This window comes from Homo sapiens, chromosome 4 (genome assembly GCF_000001405.40).
Source record: "Homo sapiens chromosome 4, GRCh38.p14 Primary Assembly".
NCBI classification, from domain to species: domain Eukaryota; kingdom Metazoa; phylum Chordata; class Mammalia; order Primates; family Hominidae; genus Homo; species Homo sapiens.
In genome coordinates, this window is record NC_000004.12 from 123,312,203 (window position 1) to 123,332,602 (window position 20,400).

At 38.1% G+C, this 20,400-nt stretch overlaps 1 protein-coding gene and 2 long non-coding RNA genes across 7 annotated transcripts in view; 2 read left to right on the plus strand and 1 right to left on the minus strand.

Moving 5' to 3' along the window:
- Nucleotides 1–7,231, plus strand: part of AFG2A (AAA ATPase AFG2A) — a 396,356-nt gene extending 389,125 nt beyond the window's left edge. For all 5 annotated transcript variants that reach the window (NM_001438322.1, NM_145207.3, NM_001437913.1 and 2 more), the window contains one exon: nt 1,686–7,231. In NM_001438322.1, coding sequence (NP_001425251.1) covers nt 1,686–1,862 — 177 coding nt within the window. In that variant the 3' untranslated portion in view covers nt 1,863–7,231. The remainder of the gene's footprint in view (nt 1–1,685) is intronic.
- LOC105377404 (uncharacterized) lies at nt 13,457–14,313 on the minus strand. The gene is made up of 2 exons (XR_939169.1): nt 14,237–14,313; nt 13,457–13,876 (listed from the first exon to the last, which is right to left on the minus strand). It is a non-coding gene; the product is annotated as an uncharacterized LOC105377404 (long non-coding RNA).
- Nucleotides 14,314–14,526: 213 nt separating this feature from the next.
- On the plus strand, nt 14,527–16,254 carry LOC124900772 (uncharacterized). The gene is made up of 2 exons (XR_007058261.1): nt 14,527–14,616; nt 15,977–16,254. It is a non-coding gene; the product is annotated as an uncharacterized LOC124900772 (long non-coding RNA).
- Nucleotides 16,255–20,400: the final 4,146 nt, after the last annotated feature.

Sequence of the window (20,400 nt, forward strand, 5' to 3'; positions counted from 1 at the left end):
CACATAGTAGGTGCTCAATAAATGTTCCCAACCATTATGTGCCAGGCTCTCTATTCTCTGAGGGAGTCTCAGCTATGAGGGGTGGGGGAGGTATGCAGGAGAGAGAAAGAGAGCTCCGTCACCTGGCAGGAAATGTAGTGCTCTTTGCCTCTTCCAGTGATTCTTCAGACTTCTTAGCCTTGCAACCATTGCTTCAAATTCTTGTCCAGATGAAAGAAGTGCTGCTCAGAAGGGTGTGGGTGGGGACTCTTCCCACTTGGTCCCTTCACCTCCCTTTGTAGAGATCTCCAAGGTCCCCTTAGAACACAGTGGAACCATTGGATAGCCAGTTTACCATGCTGGTCATTTCACAGGTTTTTACTGTGCTTATTAATTATCACATTCTTGTTTTCAAAAGAGCTCTTTTTGCACCAGAACATGTGATAAAGTGGTTTTACTAATCCCTTGAAGTTTTGTTTTTTCCTTCAACAAGATGATAGCCACCCTCTTTTTTCAGAAAAACATTAACATGCATAACCACTACAGTTAACTTCGGCGCTCATTAATGAAGCCCAGAACTAATAGTTACATTGTCGTAATTTGACAAAGCCATCTAAATCTATGCATGTTTTTGAAAGCTCCCTAAACATGCTGCTAAATCCCCTAAAAAGCTACTAAACTGCTTTGGCAGCCATTAGCCCAGCATAAGCAGAGGAACTCTTTTCAGTGAGTGAACAAACAGAGAAAATACGCTGAATGGATGGACAAATGTGTTTCAGCTGGCCCTTTCATTTACCAATATAAGGGCGCAGTCAATATCAATCACTGTTTTCCCTGTTGCCCTGAAAATCACAATATCTCTTTTCATCCCACAAGCTCTTTTCACTACCGTAATGTGTCTTTAGAATGACACTGGCATCAGCCTGCTTCCGCTGTCTGAAGTCCAGAGAGCTTAAAAACACATTTCGGGATTCTTGAACCTTCCTCCCCTTCCGTTTTCCTACTGCCTCCTCCCTCCTCCCTCTGCATCCATTCCGCCCCCTCCCCAGATTCTTTTCAATTCTTCCAGCTTTCCTGGCTGAGTAAACAGCATTCACTTCTCTGTTCTAATGCAGCTCTCCAAAGTAAATGTTGACAACCCTATCTGATATTCCTGAGATTTAAGAACTCATTAAAGAGATACACATAAAGAAATGCTTTTACATGTTGGTAATACATCAAAGGTTGAAAGGAATGTGGAAACTCTGTGCTATGACACGGTGTGTTGATGAGCAAGGCCTCACTCTGTATCAGAATATCTCCCCCTCTGCCCTCCCTTGACCGTTGGCTCCCGCCTCCCTCCACCACATAGAGACATGCATCCTTTGCCATCCCTTGTTAAAAGTATGTGCGTGCACAGCTACCTACCCTTACAGTTAAGAGCAAATGCCCTTAAAAGCAAATGCCACTTCTTAGATATCTTTTGGCACTCCTGGTTCTGAGTACTTAATACGTTGCTTTGGGATGAAGGAAAGAACAGAATGCTCTGTATATGATTACCTTTTATCCTTTTGAAAACTTGAGTGGACTAATTCTTGCAGATAAATTTTAGCAATGGGCATTTAGTTGTAGAAGGTACCACAGATGAATATTTGGAATATTATGTTTCTAAAAGAGTACTGATTGTTTTCTACCTCCTTTTATTTACTTATTTTTTAAAATTTCAGATTGTAGCTGTCTGCAGAGAGGCAGCTCTTCTGGCTCTGGAAGAAGACATTCAAGCCAATCTCATCATGAAAAGACATTTCACTCAGGCCTTGAGCACTGTGACACCTAGAATTCCTGAGTCATTGAGACGTTTTTATGAAGATTATCAAGAGAAGAGTGGGCTGCATACACTCTGAGAAAATATATATATTCAAGATGCTGAAAATCCTTTCCAGAGAAAATTTGTTTCTTTTTAAAATTTTTTGAGAGTGTTAAAAAAAATTTTACTAGGCAAAATGTTTGAAGTATGTTCAGTAGAATTTAGGGGCTTTGGTTCTTACAGATTTTCAAGTCATGTAAGTACAGTGAAAATATCTCTGAGCATAAGTTTCAATCAGTTTTACCTGGAAATTTGTGGTGTGGTTTAAAAAACAAATGTTTAGCTTTTTCATTTGCGACCTAGTCTGTTCATCCCATGAAGCGATTTCTTTTTCCAGAATCTGTTTGAGTGTCTTTCTAAAATGCCAAACATGTTGGCATCAATTTTATACAGGGATATAAAAAAGTATATGTGGATAAATTTTTTGTAATCTTTAGGGATATAAAAAAGTGTATGTGGATAAATTTTTTGTAATCTTTATTTTTGAAGGCCAGCCAGTAAAATGGCCCAATGTGCCAGCCAGGCTTATGTGGCCTTGTTTTCAAATATACATATATGTGTTATCATTAAAATTCATATATGCATTTTTGTTTTAGCCTTCTTAATCTCTACCTATGGCCAAAAAAATTTTTTTTGAGAGATATTTTGTATAATACAATGCCCTTTGAAAGTGTAAGCCCACTCTAAGCCTAGATCAGTAGGCTTGGGTTTTTTTTGTTGTTGTTTTGTCTTTTTTTTTTTTTTTTGAGACAGAGTCTCACTCTGTCACCTAAGCTGGAGTGCAGTGGCACGATCTTGGCTCACTGCAACCTCCGCCTCCTGAGTTCAAGCAATTCTCCTGCCTCAACCTCCTGAGTAGCTGGGACTACAGGTGTGCACCACCACACGCAGCTAATTTTTATATTTTTAGTAGAGACAAGGTTTCACCATGTTAGCCAGGCCGGTCTCGAACTGCTGGCCTCAGGTGACCCACCCACCTGAGCCTCCCAAAGTGCTGGGATTACAGGCGTGAGCCACCATACCTGGAGAGGTTTTGTGTTTTTGTTTTTTTTTCATAAAATGCTTTTAATAAATCATATGAAGCATTCATGTTTTTACTTATACATATTTTCAGGGTACCAGTAAACTTTTTAGTTCAAAGATAGGCCAAATTGTACTTTTTTTTTTTTATGAGACAGAGTCTCGCTGCTCTGTCGCCCAGGCTAGAGTGCAGTGGCGTGATCTAGGCTCACTGCAAGCTCTGCCTCCTGGGTTTACTTACGCCATTCTCCCGCCTCAGCCTCCTGAGTAGCTGGGACTACAGGTGCCCACCACCATGCCTGGCTAATTTTTTTTTTTTTTTTTTTTTATTAGAGACAGGGTTTCACCGTGTTAGCCAGGATGATCTCGATCTCCTGACCTCGTGATCCGCCCGCCTCGGCCTCCCAAAGTGCTGGGATTACAGGCATGAGCTACTGCGCCCTGCCGCCAAATTGTAATCTTAAACATATTATGTTGCATTCTAAATATGTATATTTATGCTTCTTGTTATTTATCCTCAGGATTTCTTCACACTTTATTACTTCATAAATACTCTTGAAAAAGCTTTCAGAAAGTGATTCTCTGACTTCAGATCAGAAACTGGCAATGGGAAGAATGTGCACTTAAACTTGATCACTGTAGATCTTTGAAAATTCCCAGAAAGACAAATCAGACAAGAAATACCTGATTATCAAAATAATGGGCTATACAGTTTTGTGGTGGCATACATTCCTTGTTTGTTTGTTTAGAGATAGGATCTTGTTGTGTCACCCAGGCTGGAATGCAGTGGCACAGTCGTAGCTCACTGCACCTTCAAACTCCTGGAGCTCAAGTGATCCTCCTGACTCAGCCTCCTGAGTAGCTAGGACAACAGGTGCACACTGCCATGTCAGGCTAATTTTTTTTTTTAAACAGAGAGACAGAGTCTTGCTGTGTTGCCCAGGCTGGTCTCCAACTCCTGGCCTCAGGTGACCCTCCTGCCTCAGCTTCCCAAAGGGCTGAGATTACAGGTGTGAGCCACCATGCCCAGCCTGTGGTGACATATATTCTGAAGTCACATCTCAAATATTTAATCCTCAAATATATTTACATCCTCAAAAATATCAGATTTTCAAGACAACACTGGTTTACCAGTACATAAACCCACCTAGGGGACAAAGAATATTACCACTTAGAACTGTGTTGTCAAATACAATAACCACTAATTGTATCTGACCATTTTAATTAAATTAATTACAATTAAATAATATTTAAGAATTAGTTTATCAGACATATCAGCCACATTTCAAATGCTCAATAGCTACATGTGGCAAGGGTCTGCCACACTGGACAGAGTAGAAAACATTCCCATCATTCAGAAGGTTCTCTTGGACGCTGCAGATCTGGAAAACAAGACTTCCATATTGAAATAAATACAACCTCAAAACTTTTATGCTCTGTGTTCCCTTTAGTTGTTATCTACATAGAAAATTATGAAACAAGAGAGGAACTTACCTTCTTCCCTATTAAATATATGGCTAAGGGCACAAGAAAATAAGAGGAAAACTTATCCTTCAGGGCCTAAACAAGGAAATGAAAGAAATCTCATTCCCAATAGAATAAAAACCAGAAGCTTGAAATGACTCTGGTGCAGGAGGCTGGGTGGTGGGGAGGAGGGTAGCAGTCTCAATCAACAAGTTTAGATATTAATAGCCACTCAAAGCCTTCAGCCCATATAACATGAAGTGACAACTGAGCTCTGCACATAATGCTCAAGCTCTATAATAACCAACACTCTCAGCACAAGGGTAGACAAGAAAAGAAAAATCTCCTGCTGGCCAGGAAGACCACAAGGAGGCTTTCTGACTTGGCCTGTGCTTTTGATTTTTAAAACATTTTTTAAAAGAGGCCTCTCTGGGCTGGGCGCGGTGGCTCATGCCTGTAATCCCAGCACTTTGGGAGGCCGAGGCAGGCGGATCACGAGGTCAGAAGATCAAGACCATCCTGGCTAACACAGTGAAACCCCGTCTCTACTAAAAATTCAAAAAATTAGCCGGGAATGGTGGTGGGCGCCTGTAGTCCCAGTTACTCGGGAGGCTGAGGCAGGAGAATGGCGTAAACCCGGGAGACGGAGCTTGCAGTGAGCTGAGATTGCGCCACTGCACTCCAGCCTGGGTGACAGAGTGAGACTCCGTCTCAAAAAAAAAAAAAAAAAAACCTCTGAGAATTCTGACTATGAGCTTACCTGCCCATGGCTTTAGAATGATTTGAATTCACACTACCTTCAAATTCATGAAACCTCAAAACCTACAAATTAACCTAAAAACATGGAGCCAAGCTAAAAATGCCCTGGGGGTAACTAGCACTTGGACTAGTTACAGGAATGTAGCTTCGTCTCAGAGGATTCCAAAAGCTAATGCCTTGCTTACCAAGGGCTTGTAATCTCACAGGATGTGATGGGTGGGGCCTCAGATCTGCTGATGGGAGCATAAATTGGTACAACCACTTTGGAAGGCAACTGGCTATCTAGCAAAGTTGAAGACCCTACAATCTAACAGTTCTCCTAGGTGCATATCCCAGAGCAAGTCTCACATTGATGCAGTGAGATAGTGAATAGGAAAGTTCATAGCACCATTATTTTTAAGTAGTAAGAACCCGGAAACAATCTAAATATCCATCAGTAATAGATATATGTGATAGTCATACAATGGAATACTGTGGCAATAAAAAATAATTAGAGCTACATATGAAATAGGGATGAAACATGGATGAACAAAGAATGTTTTAGAGGAATATGATATTTAAAATTTGAAGCATGAAAAATATGTGTTTATGGGGGCATATATAGTGGAAGAATAAATGAATAGAAAAGAAAAGCACCAAATACTGGTGAGGAATTTCCTCAGGGGAGAAAAGTTGAGCTGCTTCAATTGTGTCAGTAATGTTTCATATCTTAGGGTGGGTGATGGGAATATAGGTGCTGATTTAATATAGTCTGTACTTTTTGTGTACCTAAATATTTCGTGATAATTTTTAAAAGATGGGCCTTAAACCAATACAGTCATATCATTTAACTCAATTCCATGAATTTACAATGCAATCCACAGTGCCCACAACCCCATGTTTCTGGAAAATCAGGAGTATTGGGTACAATGGAATAAAATGCAAGAAGGCAAATAAGAGATCAGGCTTTTAGGACCTAGGAAACAAATAAAGAGGAATTTGTTGCTGAAAGTAATGTGTAGCTGACACTCTCATTACCTGACACAATGGGAGACATTATGTCTGGGAATAAGACATCTATTTCCATAGCACTGTAGTCCTGCAAAGGAGTTGGAAGTTATGAATTTTTAAAGATTTTAGAACATTATATCTTTAGTCTCTCATAAGCCAATTATTTATATCTCCACATAGCCCATTATTACCATTGAAAAGGCATGCAATTCTTCTATTTGAAGCTTGTTCCCTTTTTACAAAAGTACTAGTAAAAATCTGAGTCATACAAAAGAGCAGGTCAGGTGTCACTAATAACAGTTTACCTCAGCTTCATCTCCATGAAGGTTTTACTTCTAATCCCAGAGTCTCATGTTTATGTATTACAAGAGTGTATGAAAGCTGGGCATGGTGGCACACACCAGTAGTCCCAGCTACTCGGTCGGGGGTTGAGGTGAGAGGATCGCTTGAACTCAGGAGTTTGAATCCAGCCTGGTCAATGTAGCGAGATCCTATCTCTTAAAAAAAAAAAAAAAAGGGGGGAACAGTGTATGATCCTATTATTTGGGTTTGTGTGTGATCGAATACATGGTATATAGTTCATGGAAAATTTAAGCTCAGCAAGGAAAGAAAATGGCCAGCTTCCTGTCTTAGGAAGACAATTTACTTTTTGGCATCTGTTTGGTTGAAAGTTTGCCTTTGATCCAGATTCTTTCGGATGTCAGGGATATTCACATTGACATGTCTTTTTAGTGTTCCAGGAGATTTTAGTTTGAATAGTACAATTTTTTCTTCTTACAACAAAACTTAGAACGGCTTCTAACTTATTTCTTCATGGCCAAGAAACTACCCTAACTTATCTCGATAAATATTTAGTTCTGTCTTATTTCTAATGTGTAAAACAGGTTTTAAAAATAATATATAGATTTTGCATTTATAAAAAAAGATTTAATTTATAGAACCAAACTTGAACATATGTTTAATTTAGCCTAATCAGAAGGTTACAGAAAAAGTTGCTGTAAAGATAGAATAAAGGTATTGTACTGGTCTGTTTTTACTGAAGTTCCAGAATGTGAGGTTATTAGAGTCTTGGCTTATTGTGTCATGTTTTCCTGAATGCTTCCTTTGAAGATGAGCACACACCAAAGCATCCTTTGATATTATGTATGGATTAAATTAACACTGCTTTCCAAATGTGGTCCACATAGAAATTCTAATGTTACAAATTTGCCTTTCTTCCTTGGATTTTCATTATAACAGTTGTGTGCACACATAGGCCTTTTGCCTAATGTCTTTATCAAATATACCCCTTACTCCAACAAATTTTTGCAGAAAGAGATGTTACAGGGTTTTGAGAGTCCTACAAAATCATATGGAAATTTGTAGACTCTTCTTTCAGGATTTAGTGATAAACATTTCTGGAAAGACGGTTAAGTGTCACACCCACACACAGCAAAACCCAAGGATATGAAAAGAAAAAAAAATAGAAACATAGAATTCATCTATGCTTAAAATAGGGAACAAATATAACACGTATTACAGATTTCAATTTTACACCAACTTAAAAAGGATCTAGGAAGTTTTACATGTACTGTGCTTGACAACACATTCAGTGTGACAGGAAATACCTTGTTTACTTGGTTTCAATACACCATCAATTGTAAGCCTCACTATTTAAAAACATATTTTTCTAGAAAAAAGATAAAGTACTATAATATTGATTTGCATGTTAATGGTATTACATCCTGATTCCAGAAGCATTAAAATGTGAACAACATATATAATAAAAATCAATGAAATACAGTTAAATGCAAAGGAAATTAACATGTAATAATACATTCAAATATTTTATAATACACCCACAGCCATTAAAATATTACTTGCACCCAACATAATTATAGGTAATAATGAAAATTGCGACAAGCAAATAGGAGAATTAAAGATACTGAATGCAGATTATTTTGGGGCCGTGAATAATCACAAAGTGAAATATCCCAAATGAAAATAGCAGGGGAACTATGCCAAAAATGTGGGGTGAAGGGGAAGGCTGGGAGGAGGAGAGAAAACACCAAAAGAAAGCTGGGGTACATTTGGAAGAAGGAACATTTTCTGAGGAAAGAGGAAAAAAGTTTAGAATACAATGGCTTTGAAGTCTCAAAAAAAGTTAAGAAAACATGGATGATGTGATTCAGTAGATAAAATAATTGAGTCAGATTTAAACAGAATTAACAGAGCAAAGGAAAGGGACTAAGAAGAAAAATAATACTCTCATGTAGCCTTAGATTCAGAAATTCCACATTAAACCATTTATCATTCAGATATACATTCACAGTTACAAAATGGTATGTATAAAATTTTTTCATTACAGCTTTGTTAAAAAGACAATTCAGTTATCTATCCATAAGGGCTATTTAAATAAAGTATGGTACATCCATATAATGGAACATTATGCTGCTATAAAAAAAAAATTATGACCTAGTGTAGACATTATCTCCAAGATACAGTGGATCTGAATAATAACTAATAACACATATGTTTAAACTCTGCAAATAGAGAATGCACATCATTTTATACTCATGATACATGTAATTATAGGGTACATGCACACACGTATATAACAATGTATTTGCTAAAGTAGATATGGTGCAGAATGTACCCTATAACTACCATGACATAAAACTAATGTAGAAACAACAGTTACAACAAAAATCAACCAATTAAAAGCTCAAAAATAATTGTTAAGTGATTCCTTGAACAAAGAAGAAATCGAAAACAAAATTGGAGAATATCTAGAAAATAATAATGAAAGTACTATATACAATTGGTGGGACACAATTAACATTCTACACAGAGGATAATTTGTACACCTGAACACTTTCCTTAATAGAATAAGATTAACTGAATTAAGCATTCTACTAAAAACTTATATTTTAAAAAAAAACTACAAAATTAATCTCAAAAAAATGTAAAAGCTGAAATCAATAAATTAAAAAACAGAAGTGGTCAGTCCAACAGCTCATTGTTTGAAGAACAAACTCTAAAACAAAACAAATTAATCTTTTTTGTGTTCGACAGAATGATTATCCAAGTATGTCCATGTCCTAATCCTCAGAACCTATGCATGTGTTTGTTATGTAGCCTTCAGATGTCAAAAAGAACTTTGCAGATGTGATTACATTAAGGATCTTGATAGGAGAATAGCCTGAATTTTTCTAGTAGACCCAATGTAGTCACAAGGATCGTTATGAGGGAAAGATGGAGGCAAGAGAATTGGTCAATGATGCAAAGGTCAGAGAGAGACATTTGAAGATGCTCCACAGCTGGATTTGAGGATGGAGAAAGGGCCCACAAGCCAAAGAAAGCAGGTGGCCTCTGGAAGCTGGAAAAGGCAAGGAAAGGGATTCTTCCCTAATGCTTCTAAAACACAGCTCTACCAACATCTTGATTTCAGCCCCATTTTATAGACTCATTTCAGACTTCTGACCTCCAGAACTGTGAGATAATACATTTGTGTTTTAATCCACTAATTTGTGATAAGTTACAGCAGAAATTGAAAATTGCTACACTTTCTAGATTGCTTTTTAAAAGATAACAAAACCATTTATGGCATTTTGATATACTGATGACAATCAAGCTGAGAAAATCGAGAACACAATCCCATTCACAATAGCTACAAAAAAAAAAAAAGTGAATATCTAGGAAGATACTTAACCAAGAAGATGAAAATTCTCCACAAGGAAAACTACAAAACACTGATGAAAGAAATCATAGATGATACAGACAGATGGGAAAAATGCCATATTCATAGATTGGAAGAATTAATATTGTGAAAATGACCATACTGCCCAAAGCAATCTACATATGCAATGCAATCCCTATCAAAATACCAACATCATTTTTCACAGAATTATAACATCTTAAAATTCATATGTAACCAAAAAGGAGCCCAAATAGCCAAAGCAATCCTAAGCAAAAAGAACAAAGCTGCAGGCATCACATTATCTGACCTCAAACTATACTACAAAGATATAGTAACCAAAACAGCATAGTATTGGTATAAAAACAGATCAATGGAACAGAATAGAGAACTCAAAAATAAAGCCACATATCTTTGACAAAGCCAACAATCTTTGACAAAGCTGACAAAAACATACACTGGAGAAAGGACCACCTTTTCAATAAATGGTGCTGGGAAAATTGGATTGCCATATGTGGAAGAATGAAATTGGACCCCTACCTCTCACCATATATGAAAACCAACTCAAGATGGATCACGAACTTAAATGTAAGACCTGAAACTAAAAATATCAGAAGAAAACCTAGGGAAAATTGCTGGTCATTGGTCTAGTCAAATAATTCATGACTAAGACCTCAAAAGCACAAGCAACAAAAACAAAAATAGACATGGGACTTAAGTAAACTAAAAGGCTTCTGCAGCACAAAAGGACAGAGTGAACAAACATTCTGACGAAAGGGAGAAAATATTTGCCAACTGTGTATCCAACAGGGAACTGATATCCAGAATTTGCAAGAATAACAACAGCAATGAAATAACCCCATTTAAAAGTGGGCAAACCCATGGGAATATAAACTAGTATGGAAAACAGTGTGGAGATTCCTTAAGGAACTAAAGGTAGAACTACCATTTGATCCAGCAATCTCTCTACTGGGTATCTACCCAGAAGAAAAGAAGTCATTATACGAAAAAGATACTTGCTCATGCATGTAGCAGCACAATTCGCAATTGCAAAAATGTGGAATCAACCAAAATGCCCATCAGTCAACGAGTGGATAAAGAAACTGTGGTGTGTGTGTGTGTATACATATATACACATATATATACACACATATATATATACATATATATACACACATATATATATACATATATATACACACATATATATATACATATATATACACACATATATATATACATATATATATACACACACATATATATACAATGGAATACTGCTCAGCCATAAAAAGGATTAAATTAATGGCATTCACAGCAACCTGGATGGGATTGGAGACTATTATTCTAAGTGAAGTAACTCAGGAATGGAAAACCAAACATCATATGTTCTCACTCATAAGTGGGAGCTAAGCTATGAGGATGCAAAAATACAAGAATCACACAGTGGACTTTGGGAACTCAGGAGGAAAGGATGGGAAGCGGGTGAGCAATCAAAGACTACAAATTGGGTTCAGTGTATACTGCTCAGGAAATGGATGCACCAAAATCTCACAAATCACTAAAGAACTTACTCATGTAACCGAATACTGCCTGTTCCCCAAAAACCTGTGGAAATAAAAAATTTTAAAAATAAATAAAAAAGTGAGCAAAGAACATGAATAGACATTTTTCGAAAAAAAGACACAGAAATGATCAACAACCATATGAAAAAATGCTCAACACCACTAATCATCAGAGAACGCCAAATTAAAACCACAATGAGAAATCATCTTACCCCAGTCAGAATGGCTGTTATTAAAAAGACCAAAAAAAAAGACATTGGTGAGGCTGCAGAGAAAAGGGAGTGCTTATACACTGTTGCTGAGAATATAAATTAGTATGTCTATGGAAAACAGTATGGAGATTTCTGAAAGAACTACCATTTGATCCTGCAGTCCCACTACTGGGTATATACTCAAAGGAAAGTATTCACGCATTATGTTCATAGCACTCGTTATGTTCATAGCACTCATTATGTTCATAGCAGCACTATTCACAATAGCAAAGGTATGGAACCAACGTAAGTGTCCATCAACAGATGAGTGGATAAATAAATTGTGGCATATATTTTACCATGGTATACTATTCAGCTATAAAAAAGATTGAAATATCTTTTGCAGCAACATGGATGGAACCGGAAGCTGTTATCTTAAGTGAAAACTCAGAAAGTCAAATACTGCATGTTCTCACTTCTAAGTGGGAGCTAAATAAAGCACACACATTGGAGACTTGGAAGTGTAGGAGGGTGGGAGGGGGTGAGGGATGGGAAATTACATAATTGGTACAATGTACACTATTCAGGTGATGTTTATACTAAAAGCCCAGACTTCAACACCAGGGGCAAATCCATGTAACAAAACTGCACTTACAGTCCCTAAATTTATACAAAAATAAAGACAATAAAACCACAAATAAAATTATTAGGAAGGAACCACATTTATGAAGGAAATAAAAAGTTTGGTTACCTATGCTAATAAAAACCCTGTTTTGTTTTTGGGTTTTTTTGGTTTTTTTTTTTGAGACAGAGTCTTGCTCTGTCACCCAGGCTGGAGTGCAGTGGCACGATCTCAGCTCACTGCAACCTCCACCTCCCAGGTTCAAGTGATTCTGCTGCCTCAGCCTCTTGGGTAGCTGGGACTACAGGGGCCCACCACCATGCCCGGCTAATTTTTTTATTTTTAGTAGAGACAGGGTTTCTCCATGTTGGCCAGGCTGATCTCAAACTCCTGACCTCAGGTGATCCACCTGTCTCGGCCTCCCAGAGTGCTGGGATTACAAGCTTGGGCCACCACGCTCGGCCTGAAATTGATTTTTATATAGCTACTTCTCAAAACATCCTTCAGCACAGATGACTTCATATGCAAAAATTTATTCAGATTTTCAACCCAGTCATTGTTATGCTATTTTAACTGTTGATGAGCATAAAGAAAAAGCAAGTTTTTTAGTTCTTGTTATGACTAAAATGGTGCTAAGCCCCCCTTCAGTAGCTATGTATCAAAATCTCTAAAAGAAGGACCTAAAAAGTTATTACTCAAATCGAATGATCATTTAACATGAATAAATCAAAGTAGAAAACAATAAGTCAGTCTTGGAATTTAACATCCATTTCTCATTTTTAAAAAAAAGTAAGGATAACATTAACATGTTAAAAATAATAGTCCTAAACCAATAGCTAATAACATAAATATCAGAAGCTAGAACAAAGATCCATTACCACCACTTTTGTTCATCGTTTTTCTTTGAGCACCAGTCAATGAAGTCAAACCAGGGAATAGAGTCAGAACCCCAAAATAAGTAACTGAGGGATTATGTAAATATGTCCCCATACCTAACTGTTATAACAAAATAAGGTCACATTTCCTTTCATACTCAATTTATGTCTTTGAGTCTTTCTCCCACCAACAACCACAAGCCCCTTCTACCAATTTCACTTCCTCAAGTACTTTCCGGGACTCAGTCCCTGATTAGTGCTTTCAGTTTGTTAAGTATATGTTGGCAGGAGCTTAACACCTGCTCTCCACTGCCAACTTCACCCCCATTCCACATTCTTTCCCAATCCAGTAAGCCACTCCGCATCCCCGGGCCCCTGGTGCTGCCTGCTAACAAGCTCCTCAAGGTCTGCCCACCATGAACATCATAATGTTATGGTGCTGAGTCATTTCATTCAATTGTCTCAAGCATTTTCATTGTAGAAAGAGATCTTTGTTTTTATTTTTTAATAACTAAAATTTACATTGACTTTTTAAACTAAGAATCTTTGCCTCCAAGATAAATTTTTTCTCTATCTTGAGAACAACAGTAAACAACATCAGGAAGTTTTAAAACTGCTTTCAGATTATCACGGTTCCAGAAATAATGTATTTTGTATTTCAGTCTTAAAGGAGCATATTCCCTTTGCAAGCCCTGGAGTTCAGTAAGCTGGATTCTTAGCTAGTGTCTCCATAAAGTGGACACGGAAAGGAAGAGAATGTAGACACATCAAAAGGACGCCTCGTCAGTTGAGAAACAAGGCATTTTCAAGAAGCAGTAACAGAAGATCATGAGGATGAACCAATCCAGTAAAGACCCTTGTATGTAGTTCTTAGTGGTTCATTAGCGACCTTTAAGGAAGCAGTATCAATGGGATAATGAATAAAGGGTAAATAGGGGTTGCACTATGAGTTACATAATTTGTTTTTCAAAAATTGTTAATATAATAAGTGTGTCAGTTATTAAGTTCTCTTCTATCTCCAAATCCAAGCTTCTAAACTTTGCTTTGGGTTGCTAAAGCAGTCACTAGACAAGCCATTTCTGCATTGCTGGCTGATGCCTTAATAGGCTGTGCCAACAGGAGAGGCGGAATTCAAGGATGGAGTAGGAAGGAGGAACTTGTTCCTCTTTGTTTCCTGCAGACCCCACGGGTCTTTCCTGCTTGTTTCCTAAGCATCCCCTGACCATGGTATTTTTTTCCCCTTTTTTACCCTGACAGTAGCAGTCCCTTCCCACAGCAACGACTGAATCCAACTTTTGCAAATCCAGCCTTACTGTGCTTTCCCTTCCCCCACGCATGCCAACAATGGGAGACAGAATGTTTGTGGGTGTGGATTCTAAAGGTATTAGACCAAGGTGGATTTAATGCAACGCTGGAATCAGCTGAATTTATTGATATACGTGCATTCATCAGAGATTCTGGATTAAATGTTTTAGTTTGGATAGCTGCAAGTGGCTCTATTAGGTTACTTTTTAATTTACTTATTTACTTGTTTGTTGCTTATTTTTCCCCACTGCTGCATGTGGCCAGGGATTTTTATCTGTTTTATTTGCTGCTACATTTTGGCATCAGAATCACACCTGATATACAGTACGTAATAAATATTTGTTAAAGGAATAAGTAAATGAACACTATGCTGAAAGTAAAATTAGGGGAAATATTTACTTGGTCTGTTCTAGATTTCTAAAAGGCTTGCCAAATAATGTCATGCCACATTAACTATATGGCTGTAATAATTATTGCTGGTGATGATCTTAATATATATGTGCCCTTTTATTTTAGGAAGTACTTTGATGTATGTCAGGCTTAAAACCCAGATGACGGGTTGATGGGTGCAGCAAACCACCATGGCACATGTATACTTATGTAACAAACCTGCATGTTCTGCACATGTATCCCAGAACTTAAAGTAAACGGAATAAAAAAGAAAGTAATTTGTTTCCTGCATTCATCAGTTGTTCAAATATTGCCTTTAAAACGTACATGGTCAAAAGTTGTTCTGAAGGCTCCCATGACATAAACAAATTAGAAACAAAAATATACTCGACAATATTCAGACTTGGAAGTAAGTTATATAAGCTGATTCCACCATAAGTATACATCTTTCTTTAATCCACCAGCCTCAAACAGTGCCTCCTACGTTGCCAAACACGTTGAACCTTTAGACTTCATCCAGTTTACAATAGAAAGCCAGCATAAGGTACTGAGTTCTACCATCTATGGCACTTCTCCCATTTCTAATCTCACGACATTCTTTTAGCTGATAGCATTTCTTTCCTCTCTCCAGGATGCCAGTTGTCAGTTTGGTATTCGCATGAAAGATCATGAGTTCACTTGGTTGATTGTCTGAAACTTGGGCTCAACAATGGCCTATGTTTAATGAGACTGAGACCTCAGAGCTTTCCTGGCATAATGAAGACAAAGGATGCTAGCCCTAGATCCAGACCTAGTAAATGGCAGAGACAGGAAAGATTACAGGGTCCAGGGCCTCAGATGGGCTTGACCCTGGATAGGAGCACAAAGAAATTTCCTGTGGTTACAGTGGGAAAGGCAAGGTAGATGGTAATGGGGCAGATGGAGAGCATTTGGCAGAAACATAGGACTGTTTTTCTCAACGAAATAGGAAGCAGAGCTCTCAGCTGAGTATAGGGATGAAAGAGGAGACTTTGGAGGTTTGAGAAGAGAGAGTTAATTGCCCACAAATGTGTAGGAAGGTGGCCAGGCAGCACTAAGGGCCCGCTGAGGTCAGTGGTCAGGAAATTAGGGCACAAAGAATTTCCTGTCATTGATCAAATTCTTACATTTCATCTCAAATTCATGTCATTTTTTACAGTTTTCCTGAAACCAGTCCAAATTTCATCCCCAATTTCCATTATAAGTGAAGGAAAGTTATTTGGCCTCTATGCCAAATCTTAAAACATGACATTCTTTTTTCTTTGCATATTTCCAGAAAAATATTTCTGTGGCCTTCTCTGCTTCACCTCCTCCATTTAACTTCTCAGTAGGAGTTCTTCAGAAAAGTTGATGAGACTGAATGAGTGAATGGAAAAGAACCCATTGGCTGAGAGTCAAAGAAGGATGGTTTGCCATTCCAGCTGCTCCAACTAAGACTTCCGAGGTTCAGTCTAGAGAGAAATCAAGTCCTGTGTTTCCCGGGTTCACCTTGAACAAGTCACCACTTTATCCCTCCACATCACTCTCGTTTTAGCAATAAAATATCAAGTAAAAGCTAGGAGTTGGAGGAATCATTCAAACAGATATTAAAACGTTAGCACACATTTTTAAACATTTCGTAAGTCACAAGGTCCCAACTTCTGTAAAATTTTGAGATTTGGGTAGGTTTTTGTTACAAAAAGTTGATGTACCTGAAAACATACTACAGTGATGTTTTAGCACAGAGCCGGGCTGTACTAACCCAAAGAATCATAAGGATTTTTCCAGAGGCTTTGGGTGTACTTCATACTTTTCACCCTCTTGGGGTGGGTTCGAGTTCATCATTGCAGAACCCACTAGCCCTGGAAACAGTCCAGTAGGATCAAGGACATTTGTCCAATTCTCTGGGCAGAAGCTGGAAACAGTCCAGTAGGATCAACGACATTTGTCCAATTCTCTGGGCAGAAGTTGTCCATCACTGTCTGCCTGTGTCAGTTTCTCCTCTGGTTTTAGTGAATGGGAAGGTCCACACGCCCCTATTCTTTTCTCCCCTTCACTGGTGATTCAGTGGAGGTGGAGAACGAGGGCCTTTCCCATCTCCACCACCAGCTTAGCTGTCAAGCTTTCTGTATACAGGCACACCTCATTTTATTGCACTTAGCCTTACTGTGTTTCATAGACACTAAATTTTTACAAATTGAAGGTTATGGCAACCCTGCATTGAACAAGTCTATTGGCACTGTTTTTCAATAGCATCTGCTCACTTTGTGTCTGTATTACATTTTGGTAATTCTAGTAATATTCCAAACTCTTTCATTTTTATTATATCTGTTATGTTGTTCTGTGATCAGTGCTGTTTGATGTTATTATTGTAATTTTATTGGGGTCCCACGAACCACATCTGTAAGATATGGTGAACTTAATCAGTAAATGTGTGTGCTCTGACTGCTCCACAAACCAGCTCCTCTTTCCCTCTAACTGGGCCTCCCTGTTCCCTTACATACAACAACATTGAAAGTAGGCCAATGAATAACCCTACAATATTCAAGTGTTCAAGTGAAAGAAAGAGTCACACATCTCTCACTTTAAATAAAAAATTAGAAATGATTAAGCTTCACGAGGAAGGCACGTTGAAAGCCAACATAGGCCAAAAGTTATATCTCATATCTCTAGCACCAAACAATTAACCAAATTGTGAATGCAAAGGAAACGTTCTTCAAGAAAATTAAAAGTGTTACTCCAGTGAACACATGAATGCTAAGAAAGCGAAACAGCCGTATTGCTGATTTGGAGAAAGTTGAGTAGTCAGGATAGAAGATCAAACCAGCCACGACATTCCCTTAAGCCAAAGCTTAATCCAGAGCAAGACCCTAACTCTCTTCAATTCTCTTAAGGTGGAGCGATGTGAGGAAGCTGCAGAAGAAAAGTTGGAAGCTAGCAGAGCTTGGTTCATGAGGTTTAGGAAAAGAAGCCATCTCCATAACATAAAAGTGTAAGGTGAAGCAGCAAGTGGTGAGGTCAAAGCTGCAGCAAGTTATCCAGAAGATCTAACTAAGATAATTAATGAAAGTGGCCTCACTAAACTACACAGCCAGAAAGGAGTAGTCAATTCCTGGCTTCAAAGCTTCAAAGAACGGCTGACTTTCTTGTTAAGGGCTAAGGCAGCTGGTTACTTTAGTTTGAAGCCAATGCTCATTTACCATTCCAGAACTCCTAAGGCTCTTAAGATTTATGCTAAATCTATCCTGCTAGTGCTCTGTAAATGGGACAGCAAAACCTCGATGACAGCCCATCTATTTACAGCATGGTTTATTGAATATTTCAAGTATACTGTTGAGATCTACTGCTCAGCAAAAAAGATTCCTTTTAAAATATTACCGTTCATTAACAATGTACCTGATCACCCAAAGCACTGATGGAGATGTACAAGGGTGTTAATGTTGTTAACGTTGTTTTATTATTATTATTATTATTTTTCTTTTTTTTTCTTTTTTGAGACAGAGTCTCACTCTGTCGCTCAGGCTGGAGTGCAGTGGTGTGATCTCAGCTCACCACAATCTCCGCCTCCTGGGTACAAGTGATTCTCCTACCTCAGCCTCCCGAGTAGCTGGGATTACAGGCACTAACCACCACACCCACTAATTTTTGTATTTTTAGTAGAGATGGGGTTTCACCATGTTGGCCAGGATGGTCTCGATCTCCTGACTTCATGATCTGCCCACCTCAGCCTCTCAAAGTGCTGGGATTACAGGTGTAATAAAAGAGCCACTGTGCCTGGCCTTATTATTACACTTTAAGTTCTGGGATACGTGTGCAGAACGTGCAGGTTTGTTACATAGGTATACATGTGCCATGGTGGTTTGCTGTACCCATCAACCCATCATCTACATTAGGTATTTCTCCTAATGTTATCCCTCTCCTTACTCCTACCCCCAAATAGGCCCTGGTGTGTGATATTCCCCTCCCTGTATCCATGTGTTCTCATTGTTCAACTCCCACTTATGAGTGAGAGCAGGCAGTGTTTGGTTTTCTGTTCCTGTGTTAGTTTGTTGAGAATGATGGCTTCCAGATTCATCCATGTCCCTGCAAAGGACATGAACTCATTCTTTTTTATGGCTGCATACTATTCCATGGTGTATATGTGATACATTTTCTTTATCCAGTCTATCATTGATGGGCATTTGGGTTGGTTCCAAGTCTTTGCTATTGTGAATAGTGCTGCAATAAACATGCATGTGCATGTGTTTTCATAGTAGAATGATTTATAATCCTTTGGGTATATACCCAGTAATGGGATTGCTGGGTCAAATGGTATTTCTGGTTCTAGATCCTTGAGGAATTGCCACACTGTCTTCCACAATGGTTGAACTAATTTACACTCCCACCAACAGTGTAAAAGCATTCCTATTTCTCCACATGCTCTCCAGCATCTGTTGTTTCCTCAGTTTTTAATGATCACCATTCTAACTGGCATGAGATGGCATGAGTTGTGGTTTTGATTTGCATTTCTCTAATGACCAGTGATGGTGAGCTTTTTTTAATAATGTTTTTTGGCTGCATAAATGTCTTCTTTTGAGAAGTGTCTGTTCATATCCTTTGCCCACTTTTTGATGGGGTTGTTTGTTTTTTTCTTGTAATTTTTTTTAAGTTCTTTGTAGATTCAGATATTAGCCCTTTGTCAGATGAGTAGATTGCAAAAATTTTCTCCCAGTCTGTAGGCTGCCTATTCACTCTGATGATAGTTTCTTTTGCTGTGCAGAAGCTCTTTAATTTAATTAGATCCCATTTGTCAATTTTGGCTTTTGTTGCAATTGCTTTTGGTGTTTTAGTCATGAAGTCTTCAGCCATGCCTATGTCCTGAATGGTATTGCCTAGGTTTTCTTCTAGGGTTTTTATGGTTTTAGGTCTTATGTTTTAAGTCTTTAATCCATCTTGAGTTAATTTTTGTATATGGTGTAAGAAAGGGGTCCAGTTTCAGTTTTCTGCACATGGCTAGCCAGTTTTCCCAACACCACTTATTAAATAGGGAATCCTTTCCCCGTTGCTTGTTTTTGTCAGGTTTGTCAAAGATCAGATGGTTGTACTTGTGTAGTGTTATTTCTGAGGCCTCTATTCTGTTCCATTGGTCTCTATATCTATTTTGCTACCATTACCAGCTTTTTTCATTGCTATAGCCCTGTAGTATAGTCTGAAGTCAGGTAGCGTGATGCCTCCAGCTTTGTTCTTTTTGCTTAAGATTGTCATAGCTATATAGGCTCTTTTTTGGCTCCATATGAAATTTGAAGTACTTTCTTCTAATTCTGTGAAGAAAGTCAATGGTAGCTTGATGGCAATAGCATTGAATCTGTAAATTATTTTGGGCAGTATGACCAACTTCACGATATTGATTCTTCCTATCCATGAGCATGAAATATTTTTCCATTTGTTTGTGTCCTCTCTTTTTTCCTTGAGCAGTGGTCTGCAGTTGTCCTTGAAGAGATCCTTCAAGTTGCCCTTGTAAGTTGTATTCCTAGGTATTTTATTCTCTTTGTAGCAATTGTGAATGGGAGTTCACTCATTATTTGGCTCTCTGTTTGACTATTATTGATGTATAGTAATGCTTGTGATTTTTGCACATTGATTTTGTACCCTGAGACTTTGCTGAAGTTGCTTATCAGCTTAAGGAGTTTTTGGGCTGAGACAATGGGGGTTTCTAAATATACAATCATGTCATCTGCAAAC